Source organism: Homo sapiens, chromosome 16 (genome assembly GCF_000001405.40).
Source record: "Homo sapiens chromosome 16, GRCh38.p14 Primary Assembly".
Taxonomy (NCBI): Eukaryota; Metazoa; Chordata; class Mammalia; order Primates; family Hominidae; genus Homo; species Homo sapiens.
In genome coordinates, this window is record NC_000016.10 from 29425411 (window position 1) to 29452481 (window position 27071).

Below are 27071 nucleotides of genomic sequence, written 5' to 3' on the forward strand. Positions count from 1 at the left end.
TCAATAATAAAAAGGATTGTATTCTTGATACATGCAATATGGGTGAACCTTAAAAATATCATGCTGAGCAAGAGAAGCCAAACACAAGAGAACATGTTGTTATGATTTCACGTACATGAAACTTTAGTAAAAACAAGTCTAATCCATAGTGACAGAAAGCAAATCAATAACTGCTGACAGGGGCAAATGAGATGATCCCAAGGGAACCTTCTGGGGTAAGACGCTGTTCTGTATCTTGATCGTATTGGTGGTCACACAAGTGAAGACATGTTAGAACTCATCAAACCATACACTTAGAATGTGTAATATAAACCTCAATAAAGCAAAATTAAAAAAAAAAAAACCACCTTTAATTTTCTCTTACAAAAAAGAAAGGAAAACCACTTAACTTTAATTTTCTCCAACAACTGATTCTGGTACACAGTATACCTTAATGCCTGCATCCATGGCCTCACGTCATGCTGTTTACATGAACATAAAGCTTCACCGAAGAGTGGAATAAGACAGTCCTGCCAGAGAAAAACCAAAATTACTCAACGTAAAACAGGCTGTTGATATGTTTGCAGATATATAGCAAGTCTTAAGTCCAAGACTGCAATATAGTTTGGCTACTTCAGATTGATTGCAATAGTTTTATCTATTACACTATACCCTTACATCATTTATCTTCTACTCACAAGAGGCAAGCACACAGTAAGAGAAAGCCTTTTGTTTTGAAGGGAAATCTTCTTCAGAATATTAAGTCTAATTTATCAATACATTAATAAAGCACATTACAAAAAAAAAGTCACAGCACATTTACTATAAAGCAGACTGCAGAAAAACATTACAACTAATGCTTTATTATGAAGTTCTCGAAGATCATCATTCATTCAGAAGCCCCCATCTCTGGTTGAACTTTACCCCATTTAGGATGAAGAAGAGAGATCTTTGTTTGCAGCAAATCTAAAATTTACGTAATCCGCCTAAAGGAACTGTCTTTACATACACCACCTCCCACCCCAAAAATAGAAGAAAAAACAGAGCAATTTGCCATCCTTGCGATTATCTCAGGTTCTTCCATCTGCCCCATGTACTTCCCAAATGAAAGACTGCCTGAAAACAGCATGTTAGATTTCTGGATTTACCAGCTTGCCCAACTACAAATCCTATTTCAAAAAACTCAAAAAATAAGGTCTTTGTTCTACAGTAATGACCATTAATAGTCATAAGAATGTGCTTGTAAAAATATACAGACCTCTGTTGAAAGTCTGTTAGAAACTGTGTTCTCCAAAGCAGATGAGCAATACAGCTGCAAGGTACTTAGAACTGGCAAAGACTGTGAAACTGTTAAAGTAGAAAGTCTCAGAGGTCCAACAGCGATGCGGGATGTTTGCTTCAAGTACTTTACCACATTTCTGAAACAAAATATTTACTGTCAATTAATAAAAATTACAATTCATAACCACTCAAAGAATAAAGCAATTGATAAGATGCTGTCAAACTGACATCCAAAGTTAGGGGGCAGTAAGAGGAGCAGCCTGCTCTATAATAAAATGATATTAGCAAGTCAAGACATTTGCTTTTGGGGATTTTTACATTTTATTTCATTTCAACCTCAGTTTTTGTTGGCAAACAGCATTCATATATCATATGACTTCTACAACTAAAATGAAGCTATTAGCACTAGTATTTAGTAATCTAGTAACTCTCCTTCCAGCCCTCTTCACCCCATGTATGTTTATCACATGATATACACAATGTACATTTACCTCCGTAAGAGTAAACTTACTCAGTTACAGACTGCCACTTCTGATCTTGTTCTATCGGGTTTAAAGCAGTTGCCAAACAAACAGAACTTCTTAACAATTGAACTTCAATGGATTTCTGAGGTTCCCTTGGATCTGGACTTAACATGTTACGAAGCAGTTTTTTCATGTCTACAGAAGTTAAATGAAATGTCATTAAGTTAATGTGCTTTTATTATAAATTTTGATTTATGTTTGGCATTATTAAAAACTAATCACCAATGAACAGCTCCTTTAATATTTAAGGCAGTTAAACACTATAAGCATTACTGAGAGCTATATAAAAATCATACTTCATACAAAATTACTGTACCTCAGACCCCTAAAAAGCAGTTGCCTTCAAAGGCTCAAAAATCAGTAAGTCGAGGCCAGGCGTGGTGGCTCACGCCTGTAATCCCAGCACTTTGGGAGGCCAAGGTGGGTGGATCACAAAGTCAGGAGTTCAAGACCAGCCTGGCCAAGATGATGAAACCCCGTCTCTACTAAAAATACTAAAAATTAGCTGGGCACGGTGACAGACACCTGTAATCCCAGCTACTCAGGAGGCTGAGGCAGGAGAATCGCTTGAACTCAGAGGGCGGAGGTTGCAGTGAGCCGAAATCGCGCCACTGCACTCCAGCCTGGGCAACAGAGTGAGACTGTCTCAACAAAAAAGAAAGTCGGTAAGTCAATCTACTATTTAAGGGGACAAATCTAGACCTGCATTAGCAAATCTTGCTCAATCCAGAATACTCATTAAACTTTTTAATAACATTTTATAAAGTGTTCCATTTGTGACAAAGAACTTAATTAATGAGCCACATCGATGAAAATCAAGAAAAATATTTAGCTGAAACACTACTTTGTCCTTTATCAAACAAAATGGCTAGATAAATCTCAAAGTATTAAAGTGGCCATTTTTTTTATTTGACTTAATTTTAAGTGCTTTTCATTTCCCAAATCAAACATAAATAGGGCAGCCCTAAATTTGTTGCTTCACATGGGATTCTGCCCCCCCAAAAATGTAAAATAACTTCCAGATTTTCCAGTAAAATATACTAAGCCAAACATTTTGAGCAACTTGTCCACTAAAATAACTTTAAAACTATTTTCTCAAATACCTACCTATTTTTTCTTTTGATCCTCCAGCAAGTAGACTGATATTTTCTCCTGGTAACAATTCTAATTGCTCGGTACATTCAACAAATTTTCCAGACTCAAAGCTGCTTAATGATCTGTAATTAAAATATTGGTTAGCTTGTATTCCTACGCAGCCTGTGGAACCATTAAAAAAAAACAAACAAACAAAAACAGAACAAATCCTAGGAAGACAGCAAAGTACACAGCATTTTTCTGACAAAATTCCTTCCACGAGGATGCCATTATTTTGGTTTTTATGTTGAAGATGTGACTACCACTTAATTAGTACTCAAATTGGAGTGGCAAACCAGAAAGTCACAGCTACAGACTTTCAGTGGAGCTGACTCGCCTGTGTCTCCTTCCTGTTTTCATGTGTTGCAGCCTGTTCTCTTCAGAGCCTAACACACTGACAGTAGACCTCTGCAGGACAACTTTGACACCCAGTTCTCTCCAAGCTGCCAGTGAGCTCCCTGTGCAGCCTCACTCCTCACCTACAGCATGAGCCCTTGCAGCTCTCCCAGCATCACAATCTTGTATCTCAGTCCTGGCTTCTTTCACTGCTGGCGTCCCTCCGTCTCTCCCTTTTTCACCTACTTTTCTTTTTTCAAAGAATTCTTCTCTTTCATCTGCTTATATGAAAAATAATGACACCTCTGAAATTCTTTCCTGTAGTCCTGCAGCATCAATGCCAGGAAGACAGACCTCATCCTCCCAGCTTCTATGCTGCTCCTTTCAGATCCCTTACCCTGTCCCCATTTTCATGACACGGGCTCTCCAGCCAGGAAGAAGACACTGTTTCTCACTCTCTCTCTTTTCCATCTTTGCCTGTCCCTCTCGCTGTGTAACTTCCCTTATAACTCAGCCTGAGGCCAGTGCTAGAAAGGCACATCACCTGACTTATTCTGTGCCTGATTCTACCTAGATCAGTGCAACCACTGGCTTCTCAGGGGGACCCTTGAGTACTGGGCACTGATGAACTGCTGCCAACACATTCATCATTTCTGCCATTAAAAGGTCCTAAGTCCTCTCCAGTGGCAGGTTCCTCAAGTCCCCACTATGCTCTATAATGCCCTATGCTTTCAGCTAATGACTCAGTCCTCAGAAAAACAAACAAACAAAAAAAAACAGGCTTTAATTTCCTCTACCCCTACCCCCGATCCACCATACACTGCTGAAATTCTGTCTATACCAACTTTGACTGCTTTCCTTGGGGCAGAGAAAAGGTGAGGGCCAGTTAATCTATCAATGTTCTTTCTCCTGTTCCTTCAACCTCTGCTTTCTAGTGGCTCCTTCCCCTTGGCCAAAAGAACATAATCTCTCCAACATTTAAAATAAACATCTCATATTTCCCTCCAGCAACAGCTTCCTATCCTCGACTTCAAGAAAAACTCACTGACCAAATAACTTACCTCAAGCTTTTCATTTTCAAATGTCTCTACCACTCAATAGTATTCAATTTAGCTTCTTCTGTCTCTCTACAAAACTCTTTTTCCTTATAATCCCTAGAGCATCTGACAAGGCTGACTACTCTCATCTGGATGTCCTAATCTAGGACACTTCCCTTCTCAATGTCCCTGTATTTTTTTGAATGGCTTCCTCTTCTATCCTTTCACAAAAATGCTAAACTAGGATTCTGACCCAGGCCTTCCTTCCTCTTCACTCAATATTCTCCAGAGGCTTCTCTCTGGTTTGGTTGCTTACAAAGGCTCTAGAGTATAGACACTGAAAAGGAAAGAGGGTCTTTTCTGTGTACTAATGATCTGCAAATCTCTCAAGCTTAGACTTTCTCCTTAGTTCAAAATCCAATTCTTAACAGCTTACCCAACAATCTCGTCTGCACATTTCATTAGAAATCTTAAAACATGGCTTGTTCTCTGTGTGCTCCTACTCCAGTTAATAGCATTGTTTCTCTTCCCTCTACCATTGCCCCCACAAATTAATGGTCTCCATGCTTCCATACTTGCCCCCCACCTCCAGTCTCTTCACCATAGCAGAATGAACCACCAAGTCAGATCACAACACATCTCTGTTCAAATCCCACCTGAAATTTTCAGTCTTACTAGAATAACAGCCAAAGTTCTTTTCTCAGTTCCCAGCTACTTCTCTGCCCTTATATCCTACTGTTTAAGGCGCTCCTAAACACACAGGCCTCCCAGCTATTTCCAGAACACTCCAAGCCCATCATTCTCACATCAGGTCTAGGCCCAAAGGGCATCCTGATGGGCATGCCTTGACCTTGTGTCTTCCCTCCAAAGAAGGTCAGCTTTACCTAACTGCTTTCCTTATGGCACAGAAAAGGTGAGTGAGGTCCAATTAATCCTTCTATCAATAATCTTTATCTAATCTTTGCTTTAAAAGGTTGGAATTTGTGTCTGTTTTATGTGCTGCCTGGGTCATAGCACATGCTCAGTGAAGCAATTACACATTAACCCATTTAGCAGTAGAAGTATCAGACAAAGTCTAATGACCTTTATCTTCCCAGCCAAGTGTCTGCAACAGAGTGAGTGCTCAGTTTTGAATTACAGAATTAATAAAAGCACAGAGGAATGAGAAGAAAGTTTAATTTACAGATGTTCACAAACTCTGTCCTCATTAGAATAAATGTTTTTGATATATTCAGACCTCATTTAGAAACAAAGCCATCAAATGTGATTCTTTCTAAAGCAGTACAAATTTTTCTTTATATTCACTCTGGCATAATCTTCAAACTGTATTAAGGTTTTAGAACAACAGGTTCTGAAAATTAATACCAAATGACTATCTCAGCAGTGTTTTCCCATTATACAAATACCTTCCCTCATCTCTGATGTCAGTTTCCTGTTGTCATTTTCATAATGGCAGTAAGTTAGAAATATAACCATTTTGTATTACTACATATGACCAATTTTAATATTTTTTTGCCATAGGAAAAACATCGTAGTTATTGGAAATTTGTTTTATAACTGGAAACAGAAAGCCTTACTTTATATAGTTGAAGTCAGCTTTCAGGTTGAGGGAAGTGCTACTGGTACTCTTTTTCAAGTCATGGATAGCGTTCTGCCATTCCTGCACAGCAGCCCAATCGGCAATTGAGATGTAGCACTCACATGCTTTATTTCCTAAATAATTTATAACCTCAGGGGAAGAGTCAGTCGGTTTGGACAGCACAGTTTTTCTGGATTCACCTGAAAGTATTTTATAAAATAAGAAGAGAGAGATTCAGATCAATTAGAAATATTTCAAAGAGCACAGAAACCTAAAAACATGATAAGATCATCAGTACGAAATATATTACTATAACTTTTGCTTTATTTAAAAATACTGAACGCTCACCATTCAGACAATGTTTCGGGCTGGCACTGTTACACCCAGCATTGGCTAAGGTGAGCACCGATTTGTCAAAGCTGGAGATGCAGCAATGAACACCTATCATGGCACACAGGTGTTCCTGGTACTCCACAGAGGCCTTTTCAAACCTGAAAAGCAAATTGAAGCAGTCTTATTTCTTTATTTATCTACTTACTTACTTTTTTTTTTTTTTTGAGATGAAGTTTTGCTCTTCTTGCCCAGGCTGGAGTGCAATGGCACTGTCTCAGCTCAATGCAACCTCTGCCTCCTGGGTACAAGCGATTCTCCTGCCTCAGCCTCCTGAGTAGCTGGGATTACAGGCGCTCGCCACCATGCCCGGCTAATTTTCTTGTATTTTTAGTAGAGACGGGGTTTCACCATGTTGGCCAGGCTGGTCTTGAACTCCTGACCTCAGGTGATCCGCCTGCCTCGGCCTCCCGAAGTGCTGGGATTACAGGCATGAGCCACCGCACCTGGCCTTTACTTACTTACTTATTTGTTTTTTGAGACAGTCTTACTGTCACCCAGGCTGGAGGGCAGTGGCATGATCATGGCTCGCTGCAGCCTTGCCCTCCCAGGCTCATGCAATCCTCCAACCTCAGCCTCCCAAGTAGCTGGGACTACAGGCGCCCACCACCACACCTGGCTAAAACAAGGTTTTGCTCTGTTGGCCAGGGTGGTCTCAAACTCCTGGACTCAAGCGATCCGCTCACCTCAGTCTCCCCAAGTACTGGGATTTCAGGCGTGAGCCACCGCGCCCAGCCCCAAAGGAGGCTGTTATGTTAAACACACATATCTCATTTCCCCCCTCCCACAAAAAATGGTGCAAGAATAAACTGAGCTAAAACAGTGAGTTGACTATGGTGGGGGGAGGTTTGATGTCTTCCTCACAACTATGAAACTAAATTTAAAAGTGGTTAAATGTTTTTTAAAAAATGTAAGAGGATAAAAGAACTAGTGGAAAATATTGATAAGTAACTGATGTCAGTGTGTGGAAAGGCTTTGTAGAAGGATAAAATGCAAGAAAAGATGCACAAGTAACAGCATCTAGATGCATAATGCTGAAATACAACACTAAACATTAAAAACAAATTATAAATCAAGAAATTGGATAGCATCAACAATCTTAGTATTTAATGAAATTTCACAGATTAACACAGGAAAAATTGAGAGGCCATGAAGACATGATCCATGTTTTAAAAAATCACAAATGGTCACTATATGGGGCAACTTCTACTATTAGTCATTAATACATATAGAAATGTAAAGTACAATAACTATTTTCGCTGATGGTGGTGGCAGCATTCTTGTTTCTCAGTGACTCTCAGTATCCACAAAGGTGAAGGGAAGGGTGTACTCTATTATTAAGGGTATACATTGCAGCCATCTTTTCTGTAGAGTAACTTAGCAATAGAATATATCATAAGACTTATGGTTTGGCAGCCTTTCTTCTAGTAAATCAGTTTATGAGAATGGATTCCAAGAAAGTAATCAGAAATATAAGCAAAGATATTAAGTGCTATGGTACATTTAGTAAAAAAAAAATCAGAAACAACCTTAATGCCCAACAGTAAGAAATATTAAATTATGGTACACTCATAAATACAAATCTTTATTAAAAATAACACTGTAGAATACTTAACATGGCAATTTTTTTTTTTTTTTTTTTTTGAGACAGAGTTTTGCTTTTGTTGCCCAGGCTGGAGGGCAGTGGCACAACCTGGGCTCACAGCAACCTCCGCCTCCCGGGTTCAACCGATTCTCCTGCCTCAGCCTCCCAAGTAGCTGGGATTACAGGCATGTGCCACCACACCCCACTAATATTTTTTGTATTTTTAGTAGAGACGGGGTTTCACCATGTTAGGCTAGTCTCAAACTCCTGACCTCAGGTGATCCACCTGCCTCGGCCTCCCAAAGTGCTGGGAATACAGATGTAAGCCACCGAACCCAGCCTACCTAACATGGCAAATTTTTTTTTTTAAATATTGAGTGGGAAAAACAGATCATAAAACCATGTGCCTATGTATGCTGCTGTTTTGGTGAAGAATGGAGAAAACGACATGAAAGAAAAAAGAATTACAAAGCATATGGATATGGAAATATGGGACTACAAAAGGACACACAACAGAAGTTACTACAAAGATATGGAAGAATGAGCAGTTCTTTTATTTTCCTAAATTCGCAAGATTTCATTAAACTAACATAAATGGACACAGAATATTATGGTACAAGCTCCTCTATCTGGAGGAAGCAATGAGTCTGAATGTAGAGTTCACAGGACTAATGAGCAAATACTCTGACAATAAAGGGTAATTTGTATCAGACTCTGAGGGGGAAGGAGCTCAACTAGGGATCAAGTTCAAAAGCATTTATAAAACAACTGACAGGTCTTGTTTTTCAGTGTGATTTGCCACTAATTCTTAAATAAGAAAGGCACTCAAGTATTACTGCTAACTAAAGAACAAACTGAAGATGCCTCCTGGTGAAGTGATTTATAGCAAGCTTCAATGCTGAAAGCAAACAAAGCTGTTTTAAGATTTGGCTACAATGTCAGTGAGTAATACAAAGAATTTAAACATAAAGTAATTCTATCACCCATTTCCTTCCCTCCAACCTACCTCCCTTCAGCCTGTTGAGCCACTGAGTTAATCCACAGAAGATTTTTTCCAACAATAGATGATGACCAGACAGCAATTCCCTGTATAGCTTCAGGACAATGAAGTTCACATAGTGCTTCTACCACCATCATAATGGTTACTTCCAATTCATTCCCCTGAAAACGCATTCAGAAAAGTTAGTCACCCAATACCATTAAAACATAAATCCCTATAAAATTTACAACTGATCACAGTCTGTGCCTGCTTAAAGCCAAATGTATTTAACAATTATTTTCACAATTTTCACATTATTTAGCTCAGAATTCTTTAAAATGTTACATATAAAATAGCCACAAAGGGTGACTAACAGAACCTTAGCAGCACATGGATGTTTGCACCCCCACCCCAAAGTTACCCAAACATTTAACCTGTGACCTCTGTAGGAATAACACATGGAGTAAAAAGAAAGCAAAAATTAAATATAAATAAACAGGAATTAAAGAATGATTAACTTCATGTGTTTGAATACTGCTTGACATTACCTGAATTGCTAAACATTTTGTTATTTTTGGATTCCAGTTATTTATTGTGAGCCCACTTTCAAGCCAGGAATTACTCAAGCATTTGTCATATGTTATAAAAACAATTTCTCCTGGCCAGGTGCAGTGGCTCATGCCTGTAATCCCAGCACTTTGGAAGGCCAAGGTGGGCGGATCACTTGTGGTCAGGAGTTCGAGACCAGCCTGGCCAACATGGTGAAACCCTGTCTCTACTAAAAATACAAAACTTAGCTGGGTATGGTGGTGGGTGCCTGTAATCCCAGGGACTGAGGCAAGAAGAGGCTTGAACCCGAGAGGCGGAGCTTACAGTGAGCCGAGATCACACAACTGCACTCCAGCCTGGGCGACAGAGTGCTGTGTCTCAAAAAAATAAATAAATAAATAAAAAATTTCCCCCATAAACAAATTTTCAGAATTACCTTTAAAGTTCTAAACTTTGCACATAAGAAATATAGTTTTAACATGTTCTAAGATGAATATTGTTTTAACATGAACAAAAACATGAACATTATTTTAACTTCTAACACTGTTTTAACACGAATAAAATAGGTAACTCTGGCAGTTGTTGCTTTTACAAAATACAGGATCAAAACCTTTGAAAATGAATCCAAGCTTTAACTTATTTTATCCATAGATTAAATCATACCAAAGGAATTAAACCATGTTTTTCTTATTAACAGACTTAAAATGAATTTCAAACACACCACTTTACCTGAGATAGGCTGGTTGTTTTCATCTCTGTAAGCAAGTCAAAGCCATGTCTCACTGTCACTGCAGGCTGGCCTGCCAACAATCCTACCCTCATGATGGAGAGTCGAATCCGCGTTAGCCAGTCCTGACAAGTTTGGTGATTGGTATAGAAAAAAGTTCTAATGACCTTTACGATAAGAGAAAGAAAAGCTCAGGACTGGTTCAATTTGTAGGTAAGGATGTCTCACCTATATATAAACCAAATACACAAGTCTATTGTGATTTCAGCTCTGCACATACTGCCAGCTGTGACCATTAAACTGCTATAAAACAACACTATCTCATGGAAACCAACCTTGGGAGGTGAAGTTAATGCATTAGCACATCCCTCGTATGCATTATACATTAATTTCTCCAGATATTCCAGATACTGCAGAAGAAGAACAAGTCTAAGTTGGTTGTTACCATGGCCTTCATCACTGTCTGCAGTTGTCCACTGACTAACATCCTGATCAGGGTTTAATGTGTGAGCTGCGAGACTTCGAATGATACCTGAAAGCAAAGACAACATTCTGAATTTTTAAAAATCTTAAAAGTTCCTAGAATAAGTGTGAGTTTTTTATGACCAATTCACATTTATCAAGTATCCTCTGTCTACCCATCATTTAAAAATAAAAAATCCCAACATGAAAGATCTTTCATTTTAGGGGAAAAAAATATATATTTTTTCCACACAACTCCCATAAGTTTTGGGAAAAAAACAAACATATTTCCAATGCAATTATTCAATGAAAGCTTATTCTAACAAACATACCTGAAAATTATTGACTTCTTTTCAAAAAAATCATATACTCTCAAATCTTTAACAAAGATTTAAAAATCCATTATTTCTTAATAAGGCTTTGAAAGTATTCACATCACAAAGCTTGAGCGAGTTACCTTCAATTGTCTGGAAGGTGTCTTGAGCTCTGCCCAGTGGGGTTCTCAGCTTAGAAAGAACAGTGAATTGTGCAGCTTCCCATATGGCCCACTGCCAAAGGATAGCATCTGTCTTCAGGAGATTGCGTGGAATTGTTGACTGGTCATGCTTATCCAGTCTCTGGCAGCTATAGAACAGTCTTTCCAACCAATTGTCCTTCCTGGGAAAAGTAGTTTCATATTTAAAAGACAATGACAACTTCATTTTAATAATGAAAAAAAAATGCAAGGGGAATGGGAATAAGGAACTGTAATTTTCCCTACTCCAAAAAAAGGCAAAACCTATGAAATTGAGAAGCATTATGTCCCCCCCCTCTTATTTTGAGGTCTTTTATAGTTAACAGGATGAGGTACAGTGTGGAAGGATGATTAGGGTAAACGGCTCATGCCGGTCAGGAATGAAACTCATTCAATGCAACTAAGCATCTCTAGAATATCTCCACCCCCACCCCATTCCCCAAAGTGTTAATGACATCACATCAGTTAACTGTTAACCACATTTCATTACTCAATTTCAAAGCCCATTTTTGTTTCTACAGATGCTATCTTCAAAGTAATTTTCCTATTGATGAAAACTGAAATAACCCATATGAGAAGAATGTTACTTGATACTCTGCCACCCCCAAACATATTTTCTCTTCAAAACTGCATGTAAAGTCAAGGGAATCTTAAAATTATCTTTCCTAGATAAAATAGTCAAAGAAATGCCTTACCCTGTTCTATGAGAGTTCCCATACAAAATAAAACTAATAACATCAGAGAAATCTTGGGGGTGGAATGTATTACTTGGTGCTTTACTCATGTGACTTCTTAATGCTAAAGAAATTTCTTGAATTTCTGTGTGATTGTTATTGCTGTAGACAGAAAACAAAGTTGTTGTTACGCAAAATATTTTAGCTTAAAAGGTTAGCACATACTGTAAGTGGATTATTTACTTATTAACTCACTGGAGGTAAAAATATAGAAAAATTGAGACTTTCAAATGGATACGGAGATGTGATTACAACTTTAGATCCTTTTTTTATTCACTTCAGATGGGTCATGTGCCGACATCATAAGAGGATTTGAGGGAGGCATATCAAACATGTGAACATAAAAACCCAATCATTATGCTTATGTATTACAAAAGGATCAAGTTTAGGCTCTTAAAAGCTCCCAAATCAACTTGATCAAAAACAATAAAAGATTACTGTTTAGTTTTTCAAATATCTGAGCTACTAAGAAACATATTTTGGCACTACATGAGTTATTCTATACTAATTATTGTGAGCCTATAAAGCTCATTAAAAATTTTTAATTTTCTTGCAGACCTGCAAAATTTGATTATTTGACATCACTTCAATCACTGACAAGCAGGGCCATAAAAGATGTGTCATTAATGCTCTAATAGGTGATCTGTCTTCTCCTAAAGTAGACAACCAGTAGAGGCTGTAAATATCACAGAATGTCTTTGCTCCAAAACAACTGTTATACCTTAGGATAACATCTAAAGGAATTGATTTCAACAGTTTTCCAAATGCTTGTCGAATACGAGTTCCACAGTGCACTAGTTGAACACGGCAAACATCAACACATCTATGAAAGAACGAAATAGACAAAGCAGGTGTGTTAACATTTCAAAGTTATTAGGGTTAATGTCAAAAGACATGATCTTAATTTCATACCTCTGTAAAAGATCATCTGGCAAGGAAGAGGACAGAGCAGGTAGACTGCTGCATGCCTGCAGACAGATATTCACATCTTCAACGAGAGCTATTAAACATTAAAAGACAGTTACTTTCAGCTGGCCAAAAGAAATTATATCCCAGTTTGTCATAATTATCTGAATCCATTCATTCATTCAACAAAGAGTGAGTGCCTACTCTAGACTAGGCACTGTTCTTGTCCAGAATCCTCATTGACTGTCACGTTTGGAAAAATGACACATTCAACAAAACCCACGTAATGTAACTGATGGGTCATCACACAAAACTTTTTCTGAGAGAAAATGTAAAAGTATATGCAAACTATAAACATTCACGTAAGCTTAAAAATGTGACAATCACTTCAAAACATTTTTCTAATACTAAGAATGAAAAAAAATCAAGACTGTGTATCTGTCATTAAAATGAGGATTACACATCTGCAGGTCAGGAAAAGAGCTCTATTGATGACCATCTCCCATTACCAAGGATTGATAAACAAAATAGAAAAAAAAAAACAGAGTCTTACTGTTGGCTAAAAGGCCTTTGCAAAATTTATGGAAAGACGGAAGACAGAATAAAGGTGCATATGTTTCGGACTTCTTCATTAAAACAGCTACTTCCAAAGCCCAAGTCATTAACAGTTTCCTGAAACACAAAATATACAGTTGACTGTACATTAAAAACAATAACAAAAACAAAAAAACGTTAAAAGCCTAGTCTTCTTACATTGGTTTTCTCTTGGTTTTTCAAACATCTCAAACAATAAAAAATAAAAATAAAAAATGAAACTATAGAAATTACTGTCAAAATTGTTGTGTGCCTTTTAAGAAAACCTCCCAACGCAGCATGATAATAGCAAAGAGGCCGGGCGTGGTGGCTTACCTGAGGTCAGGAGTTCAAGACCAGCCTGGCCAACAACATGGTGAAACACCATCTCTACTAAAAATACAAAAATTAGCTGGGTGTGGTGGCGGGCACCTGTAATCACGGCTACTTGGGAGGCTGAGGCAGAAGAATTGCTTGAACCTGGGAGGCAGAGGTTGCAGTGAGCAAAACTCCGTCTCAAAAACAAAAAAAGCATAGAATATTAAAAATCTATATATATTCTTCTATGAAACACTGGGGGTGGGGGATTGAGGTTTTTCATGTATTTCTTTTCAGAAAGAATAAGAAAGCCTAGATTAAATAATAAAACCAAATTATAAGGTGTTTGACAGTAAAGAAGCTGCTCTACCTCACCTCTATAATCCACATTTTTTAAAATTTTTTGTAATTCACATTTCTTATTCTCAAATTATAAAGGCAAATTAACAAAGTTAGGAATAGTTAATACTATATAAAATCTGTTACCTCGTGTCCTGGTTAAGGTTATCTTTCTTAAGTAATATTCACAGAAGATTTAATATAATTGAGAAATGTTTCTTTGTGGCCGTAGTTACAGTGCTAATCACAGCTCCATCAAACAAAGAAGGAGAGGAAGAACTGAGGCTACTAGAGATAAAGTGATCATGCCTGAAAGACAAAGCATAGATTATCTTTTCATCTTTAATCAAAGAAAGCAAGCAAGTCCAAAGTTAAATCAACATACATCTTTAAAATCTATCCATTAAAAAAATAAAATGTTTTGTGGGGTTCTTAAGAAAAATTTGTGAATACAGTACCTGGTACAATGAGAATACAATGTGTAGAGCACAGCATACTGAATGGCAGGGAAGTGAACAGCCAGGTCACTGTGCACAATCATCAGATTCTTACTCAGAAGTGCAAAGACAGTTGGAGATAGCGCCCACATCTGATCATGTACAAAACAAAGTAAGTTTATGGCTTCTCCAAAATAAGCACAAGCATACAGAGTTTATCCTTCAAAACAGGGGTATTTGGACTTTTTTTATTTGGACATTTTTAAATTAAAATTACAGATTGGAAGGGATCTAGTACACTACACCTTGGACAAATACTTTTTTGTGAAGTCAGTAAAGCCTTTGCGTGCAATATAGCATCTCTATGCAATGCAGCAACTCCTTGTCTATCGCTACAGTAAGAAAACAGCCACAGGTCAGGTGTTGTGGCTCACACCTGTAATCCTAGCACTTTGGGAGGCTAAGGTGGGCAGATCACTTGAGCCCAGGAGTTTGAAACCAGCCTGGGCAACACAGCGGGACCCCATCTCTACTAAAATTACAAAAATTAGCTGGGCATGGTGGCGCACACTTGTAATCCCAGCTACTCGGGAGGCTGAGGCAGGAGAATCGCTTGAACCTGGGAGGCAGAGGTTGCAGTGACCCGAGATCATACCAATGCACTCCAGCCTAGATGACAAAGTTAAGACTCTCTCTCTCAAAACAAAACACCAGCCACATACGAAACACAGGAATGAGAGTACCTGTGTTCCAAGAAAACTTTCTTGAGTCGGAGTCTCTCGCTCTGTTGCCCAGGCTGGAGTGCAATGGGGCGATCTCAGCTCACTGCAACCTCTACCTCCGGGGTTCAAGCAACTCTCCCTGCCTCAGTCTCCCAAGTAGCTGGGACTACAGGTGCCCATCACCACGCCCTGCTAACTTTTGTATTTTTTTAGTAGAGATAGGGTTTCACCATGTTGGCCAGGCTGGTCTTGAACTCCTGAGCTCGGGTGATTTGCCCGTCTCGGTCTCCCGAGGGATTACAGGCGTGAACCACTGCGCCCAGCCCAACGAGAACTTTCTTTACAAAAACAGGCACTAGTGTTGCGATGGTTGTACACTTCTGTGAATATACTAAAAATCAGTGAATTATACACTTAAAATAACAAACAAAAAACAGGTGCTGGGCTGTATTTGGCCCACGGACCATAGTTTGCTGATCTCTGGTCTAAACAGAGCCCTTTGTATGTGCCTTTTGCGGAAGTAGACTGTATTTCTTCAATTTTCCATATACTGCAAATGGCAAGGTGCCCTGTTCAATAAGGAAACAAAGGCACACCCTGCCACTATACACCTTTTCCATCCATCTTGTTCCTTTACACTGCCAAGACACTCCATTCCACCTGACTGCCCCAGCCCCACCCACTTTCTCCTTATTTCTAGAGTACAGGACATAAACATCTTTGAATCTGCAAATAATGTGAATAATTTTCCTCAAAAATCAAGCTTTCATGTTTGAAGAAGAGTTTATTGTGACTTCAAACATAAGCTGTAACTGGTAATAAGCGAAGCAGCTATGGAATTATACAAGGCAATCCAATCAAACAACATGGAGCACACTGAAGCGCAAACATCAAATTTTACCTTTTTCCTCCTAAAAACTTTATTCCCTAATTACATCCATTACTTTCTTTCTTTGTTTCTTTCTTTTTTTTTTTTTCTTTTGAGACAGAGTCTGGTTCTGTAGCCCAGGCTGGAGTGCGGTGGTGTGATCTCAGCTCACTGCAACCTCCACTTCCTGGGTTCAAGCAATTCTCCTACCTCAGCCTCCAAAGTAGCTAGGATTACAGGTGTGCACCACCACCCCTGGCTAATTTTTCTATTTTTAGTAGAGGCGAACTTTCACCATGTTGGCCAGGCTGGTCTCAAACTCCTGACCACAAGTGATCAGCCCGACGTGGCCTCCCAGAGTGCTGGGTTTACAGGTGTCAGCAACCGTGCCCAGCCTACACCTATTATTTTCTATTAAAAATAATGTTTTTCAACTCTGTGTGGTCCAATAGGAAGAAGAAATACACAAACCATAAACAATAAATACAAATCAAGAGCAGGGCCACGTCGAATTACTTAAAAAAAAAAACACACGGGCTGGGCGCGGTGGCTCGTGCCTGTAATTCCAGCACTTTGGGAGGCTGAGGCGGGTGGATCACCTGAGGTCAGGAGTTTGAGACCAGCCTGGCCAACATGGTGAAACCAAGTCTCTACTAAAAATACAAAAATTAGCCCGTCGTAGTGGCAGGTGTCTGTAATCTCAGCTACTCGGGAGGCTGAGGCAGGAGAATTGCTGGAACCCGGGAGGCAGAGGTGGCAGTGAGCCGAGATTGCACCACTGCACTCCAGCCCAGGTGACAACAGCATGACTCTGTCTCCAAAAAAAAAAAAAGCTTTTTTTTTCCCCCCTCCTAAAAGAAAGACTACAGGTTGAGTATCCCTTATTCAAAATGCTTGGGACCAGAAGTGTTTCAGACTCTGTATATGTTTGGATTTGAGAATACTTGCACATATATAAAATGAGATATGTGGGGGACGCGACCCAAGTCTAAACACGAAATTCACTTATATTTCATAGACGCCTTCTATTCATAGCCTGAAGGTCATTTTATGCAATATTTTAAATAATTTTGTGCATACAACAGTTTGGACTCATCACATGAGGTCGGGTGTGGGATTTTCCACTTGGGGCATCATACTGGTGCTCAAAAAGTTTCAAATTTTGGAGCATTTTAGATTTAGGATTTTCAGATTAGGGGTGCTCACCAGTAAGTGTTATGAAAATATTCCAAAATCCGGCTGGGCATGGTGGTGCCCACCTGTAATCCCGGCATTTTGGGAGGCCAAGGCAGGTGGATCACCTGAGGTCAGGAGTTCACAACCAGCCTGGCTAACATGGTGAAAACCCATCTCTACTAAATACAAAAAAATTAGCCAGGCGTGGTGGCGCATGCCTGTAATCCGAGCTACTTGGGAGGCTGAAACAGGAGAATCGCTTGTACCCGGGAGGCGGAGGTTGCAGCGAGCCAAGATTGCGCCATTGCACTCCAGCCTGGGCAACAAGAGTAAAACACTATCTCCAAAAAAAAAAAAGTATTCCAAACTCCAAAATCAAAAACACTTCCAGTCCCAAGTATTTCAGATAAGGAATATTCAACCTGTATGAATGTTCCTAGGGAAAAAAAGACAGCCAAAATATAAGACCATGTATAAGAACTAACTTCAGTAGACAGAAAGAAAAAAGTACCAGGGGAAGAAGAAAGAGACCGCATTTTAAAACAACTATACAAATTTGAGCTGTAAGAAACACTGACATTTTCTATAAGCATGCTAGAGCAAATGGGAGAAATTCATAAGACGTTTTCTAGAAAATAAAACTAATATAAAAAAACTTATCAAGATTTGTCAAGGAAAAAGAAGAAACGTTAAATATAATGGCAAGAAAACATTCCTACCAATTTTATTTATCCAGGCATGTCTTAAATATGGCTGTTTGTTACATACAGTGATTCTGCAGACATGTTGACATGACAGTGAAATACATAAATATGTAATGAGAAAAGGCTTAACTGTGGATAAAACAAAGTCATTACAATTAAAGACTCGAGTTTTTGGCATTTCCAATTGTAGTCAGGGCACTGAGGTCAAATTTAACTACAAATTTTGCATTGTCTACATTGAACACATGATTCTTAAAAGCCTCATGTTTTATTTCAGAACAGGCCTCAGGAAGTTGCAGACTGTGCAGGAGGTTGTTTAGGGCACAAGTCATTTCTCCCAATATTAACTTATAGGCAGTCTCCAAAACAGGAATATTCTTCAAGCTGAGCATTGCTTGATAAACAGCATGGGCTACAGCAACAACCTGAAAAACAAAAAATTCAAGGAAGTGATAAATGGAAAATAAATCTTCTAAAATTATATGGAAAATAAATCACTATCTGTATTAGTGCTGATGATACAAATAAATTTAAGATTGATCAATTCACTGTCCGTAGCACTTAATATTTTAATTTTTAAAAAACCAATCAGAAAACTGACACAGATCAGTATGCTATTTCAAATCTATTAAGTTTTATCACAAATAAAGAGTACTATAAATGAAAACTGTCAATAGGAAATTTCCAAAATGGCCGTTTTTTTTTAAATAATCAACATCAAAAGACATATGCAAACAGCAATTTAAGACTGGGTTTCTTAAATCTACCAGGAAAGTCTGTGGTGGATTTGACTAGGGGGTGGTTGAAAAGCCAGTCATTTTTGTTTACAAAATATACAGTACTTAATTTATAACTTTATAAATGTGTCAACTTGTTTTACCCTTATGAAAATTTAATAAATTTAATAACAGCAAGAGATGCATAGTCTGAAAAGAGTATCTGGCACATCATTCATGAAAGTATTCAGTATGATTATCAAGAAATATAAATTTAAAAGAACAAATACAATCACTATATTCTAAATCAAACATTTCACATTTCACTCAATTTCACTTATATAGCCTGGTAAGCAACATTAGGTCCAACTCTTCAGTGACTCAAGTTGTCAAAATTCATTATCAGTGTATTACTTACCTCTTTTTCTTTATGATAACGCAAGAATAGTAGTTTAGATGATGGTATAAACAGTTTTTCTACAAATGATGATGGCAGTTTCGTATTTATCTGTTCAACAATCTAAAAGAATAAAATTTTTAAAAAATGAGCTTCTCAAATTACAAAAAGACATGGAGAAACCTTAAATGCACACTGGTAAGTGAAAGAAGTCAATTGAAAAGGCTACATACTATATGACTCCAACTACATGGCATTCTGGAAAAGGCAAAACGATGGAGACAGTAAAAAGATCAGGGGTTGCCATGGGCTTAAGATGGAGGGAGGGAGGAGTGAGGAGAGGGAACGAGGAAGGAGTGGGTAGAACATCAAAGATTTTTAGGGAAGTGAAACTATCCTGTATGATACTGGTAATAGGGGATACATGTCATTACACATGTTAAAGTCCATAGAATACATAACACAAAGTAAACTATAAAATTAGTTAATAATAATATATCAATATTCACTCCTTTGTAATAAATGTACCACACTAACACAATATGTTAATGAGGGGGAAACTGTTGGGATGAAGAAGGTATATGGGAACTCATTGTTTTCTGCTCAATTTTCTGTATATCTAAAAAATAAAGTCTTTTAATTTAGAAAAATATATCTAAGCTATATTTTAAGGCCTTAATACTGTGACATTAAAGTGTTTAGACACCTAAATAGGACACACGTATTTTACAGTTATCATGGGCATTTTTTCACATTAGCAAAGAGAGGTGTAATTCTGGCAGAAATGCTCAGCAGAATGTCATCTAGAATTTGCTTTAAAATAATCCAGCTGGAGATGAAAGGATAGCAAAGAGGCCTAGATGAAACCAGATGGGCCATTTGTTTCTAATTATAGAAGCTGAGTGTTAAATATGTACAAATTTATTATACTATGCTCCCTATTTTTATGTGCTTCAGAATGTCCATAATAAAAGTGGGGGGAGGATATTTATGGTTAAGAAATTAAAGGAGGCCGGCCGGGCGTGGTGGCTCACGCCTGTAATCCCAGCACTTTGGGAGGCCAAGGCAGGCAGATCACGAGGTCAGGAGATCGAGACCATCCTGGCTAACATGGTGAAACCCCGTCTCTACTAAAAATACAATTGTGCCACTGCACTCCAGCCTGGGCAAAAGAGCGAGACTCCGTCTCAAAAAAAAAAAAAAAAAAAAAAAAAGAAATTAAAGGAGGCCAGGCATGATTGCTCACACCTGTAATCCCAGCACTTCGGGAGGGCAAGGCAGGAGGATTACTTGAGACCAAGAATTTAAGGCCAGTCTAGACAATGTAGTGAGACCCCTTCTCTCCAAAAACTACAAAGGTTAGCCAGGCATGGTGGCATGCATCTGTAGTCCCAGATAGTCGGGAGGCTGAGTGGGAGAATCACTTGAGCCCAGGAGTTTGAGGCTGCAGTGAGCTCTGATTGTACCGCTGCACTCCAGCCAGGGGAATACAGCAAGATCCTGTGACAAAAAAAAAAAAAAAAAGAAAAAAGAAAAAAAGAAAGAAAAGAAAAGAAAAGAAAAGCAAAAAAGAAAGAATCTGGTGCGTAGAGCAATGTTTCCTCAGAAAAAACGAGTAAAGCTACACTGAGACTAGCTATCAACCACTAAAAATAGAGGCCTGGCAGAGTGGCTCATGCCTATAATCCCAGTACTTTGGGAGGCCAAGGCAGGTGGATTGCTTGAGCCCAAGAATTCAAGACCAGCCTGGGCAACATGGCAAAACTCCATCTCTACAAAATAATATAAAAAATTAGCCAGGTGTGGTGGTGCACGCCTGTAGTCCTAGCTACCTGGGGGGCTGAGGTGGGAGGGTCACCTGAACCCAAGAGGTCAAGGCTACAGTGAGCCAAAATCATGCCACTGCACTTCATCCTGTGCAACAGAGTGAGACCCTGTCTCAAAAAAAAATTGCATTAAAAATAAAAGTAAATAGACACTAAAATGAAAGCATAGATTATAAGACTGATGAATGTACTCTAAAAAATAATATAATAAAGCAAAGCCCTTATTTTTTTTCTTTTTTGGAGACAGGGCCTTTTTTGTCACCTTGGCTGAGTGCAGTGGCACAATCAGAGCTCACTTCAACCTCAAGTTCCTGGGCTTAATCGATCTTCCTCCCTCAGCCTCCCGAGTAGCTAGGACTGCAGGTGCACACCACTACACCAAGCTAATTTTTGACTTTTTGTACAGATGGGGTCTCACTACATTGCCCAAGCTGTGCCAGAATTCCTGGATGCAAGCAATCCTTCTGCTTTGGCCTCCCAAAGTGCTGGGATTACAAGCATGAGCCACCATACCCAGACAAAGTCCTTAATTTCTTACATATCGATTTAAGGGCCTGAATAAACCAACACATTAAAAAGGAAAAGAATAATTCACATACCAGCGTGAGTAAATTCAAGACTGAGATGATATAATCGGTACCACAAGTCTGGCAATTCTCCAGTTGGTCTAATCCATATGTAATGACCATGTCACAATGTATAGTCATGCTAGGATCCAAGCTGCCGAGCAAAACACCAACACACTCATTAGCAGCTGTCAACACAGCCTCAGAAAAAAACACCTGGTTTGCAGCCGTCACACATCTCATTACTCTGTACAGAACCTGTAAATGGGGAAAACAAGCAGCTTTTTACAAAAATTCACGTGCTTCCACAAAGCAAGAAAATACTTTTTATTTAATGCAATTTCAACTGAAAATTAACTGCTTGCCTTGCCAGCAGTCTCTTAATATTCTAGTTCTCAGTAGCTGAATAATAATGATCCCTTTACTACAATATGTAAACATGATCTTGGCTAAAAAATCCTAAAGTGCTACTATGACAGGAAATGGAACCTGCCATCCTCTATTTCCCATATACCCAACTTCGTTTCTCCCAATGTCACTAAATGGCTGAAGCTCAGAATCTTTATCATGAAATACACCACGACAGTAATGGTATTGACAGCATGGGAATAGCCTGCCCACACATACTACAAGCTAGCTCTTGGGCTTTTGGGAATCAATCTTTCAAAACTGAACATACAAGTCACTTTAAGCTTATTAAAGTTTCTATCTACTGATGGTCTCTTTTGAAAGATAAGCACTCTCATGCTTACCACATAATATCTTCAAAAATCATATTATTTCCAATACACACACAAACAAAATCCCCCACTTAACTATAATGGCCAATAATTGTGTACTAAATTTCTAATAAAATGGGGGAGAAAACAGAGCAAATGTTTAAAAATATTTCTATAATATTTAACAACCAATACATACAGGATTTTATTTAGTCTACCCATAGTTTTCATTAAAAGTATCCTTGGAGGTTGGGCATAGTGACTCACATCTATCATCCTAGCACTTTGAGAGGATTAGCTGGAAGGTTCTCTTGAGTCCAGGAGTTTGAGACCAGCCATGTCAACATAACAACACCTCATCTCTACCAAATTTGTTTTTAAATTAGTTGGGCGTGGTGGCTCACACCAGTAGTCCCACCAACTACTTGAGGCTGAGGTGGGAGGATCACTTAAGCCTGGGAGGTCAAGGCTGCAGTGAGCCAAGATCGTGCCACTGCACTCCAGCCTGGGCAACAGAGACCATGTCTCCAAAAAAAAAAAGAGTGGGGGAGAGAGGGCGGAGGGGGAACCATTCTTGGCCATGCATGCACAGTGGCTCATGTCTATAATCCCAACACTTTGGGAGGCTGAGGTGGGAAGACTGCTTGAGGCCAAAAGTTCAAGACCAGCCTGGGAAACACTGAGACCCCATCTCTACAAAAATAAAAAATTAGCAGGAACTATGGTGGGAGGATCACTTGAGCCCAAGATACAGAGGCTGCACTGAGTCGTGATGGCACCACCCCACTTTAAAAAGAAAAACAAAAAAAGCTGGGTATGGTGACACCCGCTTGTAGGGCTGAGTGAATGGGAAGTTCACCTGGGCCCAAGAGTTCAAGACTACAGTGAGCTATGATTGCACTACTACACTCCAGCCTGGGTGACAGAGTGAGGCTCCAGCTCCAAAAATAAATAAAAAAAATAAAAACCCCACCATTCTACCATTCTCAAAGGCCTAAAAGATCCTCATAAATCAATATACACCTATCCTATAAATTATGTCCCTTTTATTTTATGTCTGAATTAACGGCTTTTTATTTCAACTCTGTACAGTCTTCAACCACCTTTTAGACATTAAAAATGAAGCAAAGATATTAAACCATTTTGAAACCATATTGGTTTAAAATACCAATATGCTGGTTTCATTTATCTTTAAGTTCTGACATTTCTGCTCAAGTACACAACTTACTATATAATCAATATCCTATTTTATTTAGCAACATGTTCAGCAAAAGTATATGCTCCTAAAAGCGAGTTTTATCCTAACAGTAAAATTTTCATCAGTTAGATTAATTTTTTTATGACTGTATCACACATGCTTCTTTCTCCTTATTCAAAGCAGAGTACAATGCCTGGGGTTCATTTCTTGTGTCTTTTCCACTGAACCCTCATTGGATGTGCTATATACAGTGCAGCTAATGTTTGAGGCTGCTGAAGTGTGGCAATCTAGCTACCTCATTTTTAATTTGTTTATGTTCTTTGATATCAGGCTATCAAAGAATATAAAGATATACAAGTTTTCATATGAGTTCCATCTTATGCTCAGAGAAGGTTACTTTCTGAGGCTTCTCCTATAGTGTGCTATTCGTAATATGTTGAAAAACTAAAAGGAAACCCAATAATTTAAAAGTAAAATTATAAGAAATATTATTTCTTATAATAATACCGGCGCAGGAGGGCAGCACCAGAGGCCAGTGGCACTCCCAGCTCGGTGAGAGGGCTGGGAAGCCAGGGAATAAAACTGGGAGGGTGGGGTGGGGCTGGTGTTTGGGGCACCTCAAACTCACAACATTGGGAATCTTTGTGGGTCCGGGAATGGTAATCCTGAGGCCTCAGAACACAGGTTTCAGATTGATAGGCCTGCAGGTCTCCAGGCAGCAACCAGCTGAGCGACTAAAGGGCCCAAGGCCAGGGCTCTAGGGATGGGGCTCAGCAGAGGCTGGGGTAAGGGGAGCCAGGGAGGAGCTGGGCCTAATGCAGCACCGGGTCCCCAGGATGCCGTGTCTCGGCTGGAGGAGGAGATGCGGAAGCTCCAGGCCACGGTGCAGGAGCTCCAGAAGCGCTTGGACAGGCTGGAGGAGACAGTCCAGGCCAAGTAGAGCCCCGCAGGGCCTCCAGCAGGGTCAGCCATTCACACCCATCCACTCACCTCCCATTCCCAGCCACATGGCAGAGAAAAAAATCATAATAAAATGGCTTTATTTTCTGGTACCTCCCAGACTCTGATGACTGGTCCCCTAGACACGCAGTTTGCTGAACCAACCAGCCCTAGAGCTTCCCCTCCACCGCGCTGAGGGGACTGACCCATGGCAGGGGATGTGGGATGCCCCCTGACTTACTACATCACAGGAACAGGGCCTTCGTGGGTAGAAACCAGCCATGCTGATGTGGGCCAGGAGGCTGCTCTCCGTTTCCGAGCTCCTTCTCAGAGCTGACACAGCTGAACTATTTAAGGCCCTAGCTTAGAACCTCAATAATTCCCAAATTTACCAAAAATCTGCCTTTCCTAGTCAACCAAAACATCACGTTGCACGTGACTCTGCTGGCACTGTTGCTTGTGAGGAAATGAACCAACCATCACTTACAGGGTAGGCATCTTTTAAACTGCAGGTCCAAAGATAAAAATAACGAGGGAGGCTGGGCATGGGGACTCACGTCTATAATCCCAGCACTGTGGGAGGCTGAGGCGGCAGGATCATTTGAGCCCAGGAGTTTGAGACCTGCCTGAGCAACACGGCGAGATACCGTCTCTACGAAAAATAAAATAAAAAATTAGCCAGGCATGGTGGTGGGCACCTATAGTTCCAGCTACTCAGGAGGCTGAGGCAGGAGGATCCCTTGAGCCCAGGAGGTCGAGGCTGCAATGAGCCATTGCACCACTGCACTGCAGCCTGGGTGACAGAGCAAGACACTGTCTCTAAAAAATATAAATAGGCCGGGTGTGGCAGCTCACGCCTGTAATCCCAGCACTTTAGGAGGCCGAGGTGGGTGAATCACCTGAGGTCAGAAGTTCGAGACCAGCCTGGCCAACATGGTGAAACCCCATCTCTACTAAAAATACAAAAATTAGCTGGGCATGGTGGCAGGCGCCTGTAATCTCAGCTACTCAGGAGGCTGAGGCAAGAGAATTGCTTGAATCCGGGAGGCAAAGGTTGCAGTGAGCCGAGATCATGCCATTGTACTCCAGCCTGGGGGACAGGAGTGAGACTTCGTCTCAAAAAAAAAAAAAAAAAAAATATATATATATATATATTTTTTTTTTTTTAAATGTATAAATACATCATATATATTTTAATATATAAATATATTATATATATTATATATTTTAATATATAAATATATTATATATAATATATTTTAATATATAAATATTATATATATTATATTTTAATATATAAATATTATATATATTAATTATATATTTTAATATATAATATATATTATATTATATAATAATAAATTATATATTATATTATATAGTAATAAGTTATATATTATACTATATAATAATATAGTATAATATATAATATATATTATAATATATTATATTATATTATATTATATATTATAATATAAATTATATATATTTTATATATATGTTTTATATATTATATATTTTAATATATGAAACAGGGGAACTTCTTCTAAGGAAAAGACAGAATTAAGGCAACAGGCTGATCCTAGTTTACCAGAGAAGAAACTGAGGCCGGGAGCAGGAGCCCAGCTCACTGAAGGGCAGATCCCAAGTCAGAGTCCAAGTCTCCCCACTTTTTTATTTATTTAATTTTTTCTGAGATGGAGTTTCATTCTTGTTGCCCAAATTGAGTACAATGGCACAATCTCGGCTCACCGCAACCTCTGCCTTCTGGGTTCAAGCCATTCTCGTGCCTCAGACTCCCAAGTAGCTGGGATTACAGGCATGTGCCACCACGTCCGGCTAACTTTTGTGTTTTCAGTAGAGGTGGGGTCTCACCATGTTGGCCAGACTGGTCTCAAACTCCTGGCCTCAAGTCATCTGCCTGCCTCAGCCTCCCAAAGTGCTGGGATTACAGGCATGAGCCGCTGTGCCTGGCCTTATGTCTCCCCTTTTGAATTCAGAGCCTTCCCCCGTGTAGTGAGTGCTTCTGCCTCTCTAGCCCTTCCTGTGGGTTCTGCCTGGGCCTGACCTCTGTGAGAGACCTGGCAGGAACAGGTCTGTCAGGCCTTGTGGGGAGTGGGTGTGGGAATAGGTTTTGATACCCAACTTAGCAGGTGATCCTGAGATGGGAGGACACAGGGCTGTTTGGGATGGGCGTCTTAGCCATAGTAAGGTTTGGTTCATATCAAGCAGGGACCACCCATGGCGTCATTTCCAGGCCCCACCTCTTCAGTATGCCATAGAAAACTACTTGGGCAGTAGAGGTGTGGGAAGAAAACAAAAAAGAAAGCTGGGCATAAGTGGCACACGCCTGTAATCCCAGCACTTTTGGAGGCCGAGGCGGGTGGATCACCTGAGGTCGGGAGTTCAAGACCAGCCTGAACAACATGGAGAAACCCTGTCTCTATTAAAAATACAAGATTAGCCGGGCGTGGTAGCACATACCTGTAATCCCAGCTACTTGGGAGGCTGAGACAAGAGAATCGCTTGAACCCAGGAGGCGGAGGTTGTGGTGAGCCGAGATCGTGCCATTGCACTCCAGCCTGGGCAACAAGAGTGAAACTCTGTCTCAAAAACAGACAAACAAACAAACAATAAAAAAACCCCAAAAATTAGCTGGGCATGGTGGCGTGTGCCTGTAATCCCAGCTACTAGGGAGGCTGAGGCAGGAGAATCGCTTGAACCCGGGAGGGGGAAGTTGTAGTGAGCCAAGATCATGCTACTGCACTCCAGCCTGGGCAACAGAGCCAAGACTCTGTCTCAAAACAAACAAACAAACAAACAAAAAAACGCAGGAAAAGAGTGTGTGATGGCTGAA

At 39.6% G+C, this 27071-nt stretch overlaps 1 protein-coding gene, 1 non-coding gene and 2 pseudogenes across 10 annotated transcripts in view; 1 reads left to right on the forward strand and 3 right to left on the reverse strand.

Annotated features, from left to right (window-relative positions):
* Nucleotides 1–21616, reverse strand: SMG1P6 (SMG1 pseudogene 6; annotated as a pseudogene). Its single transcript, NR_135312.1, has 19 exons — nt 21392–21616; nt 18988–19089; nt 18206–18278; nt 14405–14535; nt 14094–14255; nt 13270–13388; nt 12723–12810; nt 12532–12633; nt 11772–11912; nt 11020–11219; nt 10436–10632; nt 10103–10267; nt 8852–9006; nt 6219–6361; nt 5869–6070; nt 2892–3001; nt 1772–1919; nt 1238–1397; nt 1–509 (listed from the first exon to the last, which is right to left on the reverse strand). The product of NR_135312.1 is annotated as an SMG1 pseudogene 6 (transcript).
* Nucleotides 12087–12190, reverse strand: LOC124903796 (small nucleolar RNA U13). Its single transcript, XR_007065241.1, has one exon. It is a non-coding gene; the product is annotated as a small nucleolar RNA U13 (small nucleolar RNA).
* Nucleotides 17495–27071, reverse strand: part of BOLA2-SMG1P6 (BOLA2-SMG1P6 readthrough) — a 12060-nt gene continuing 2483 nt past the window's right edge. For 4 of the 7 annotated variants that reach the window (NM_001320624.1, NM_001320622.1, NM_001320627.1 and 1 more), the window contains 3 exons: nt 21392–21616; nt 18988–19089; nt 17495–18278 (listed from right to left, as the gene is read on the reverse strand). In NM_001320624.1, coding sequence (NP_001307553.1) covers nt 18009–18278; nt 18988–19089; nt 21392–21616 — 597 coding nt within the window. In that variant the 3' untranslated portion in view covers nt 17495–18008. The remainder of the gene's footprint in view (nt 18279–18987; nt 19090–21391; nt 21617–27071) is intronic. The other 3 variants (NM_001320625.1, NM_001320623.1, NR_135316.1) reach the window with 2 other exon arrangements.
* LOC606724 (coronin 1A pseudogene) lies at nt 23935–24505 on the forward strand (annotated as a pseudogene). Its single transcript, NR_002454.2, has one exon. The product of NR_002454.2 is annotated as a coronin 1A pseudogene (transcript).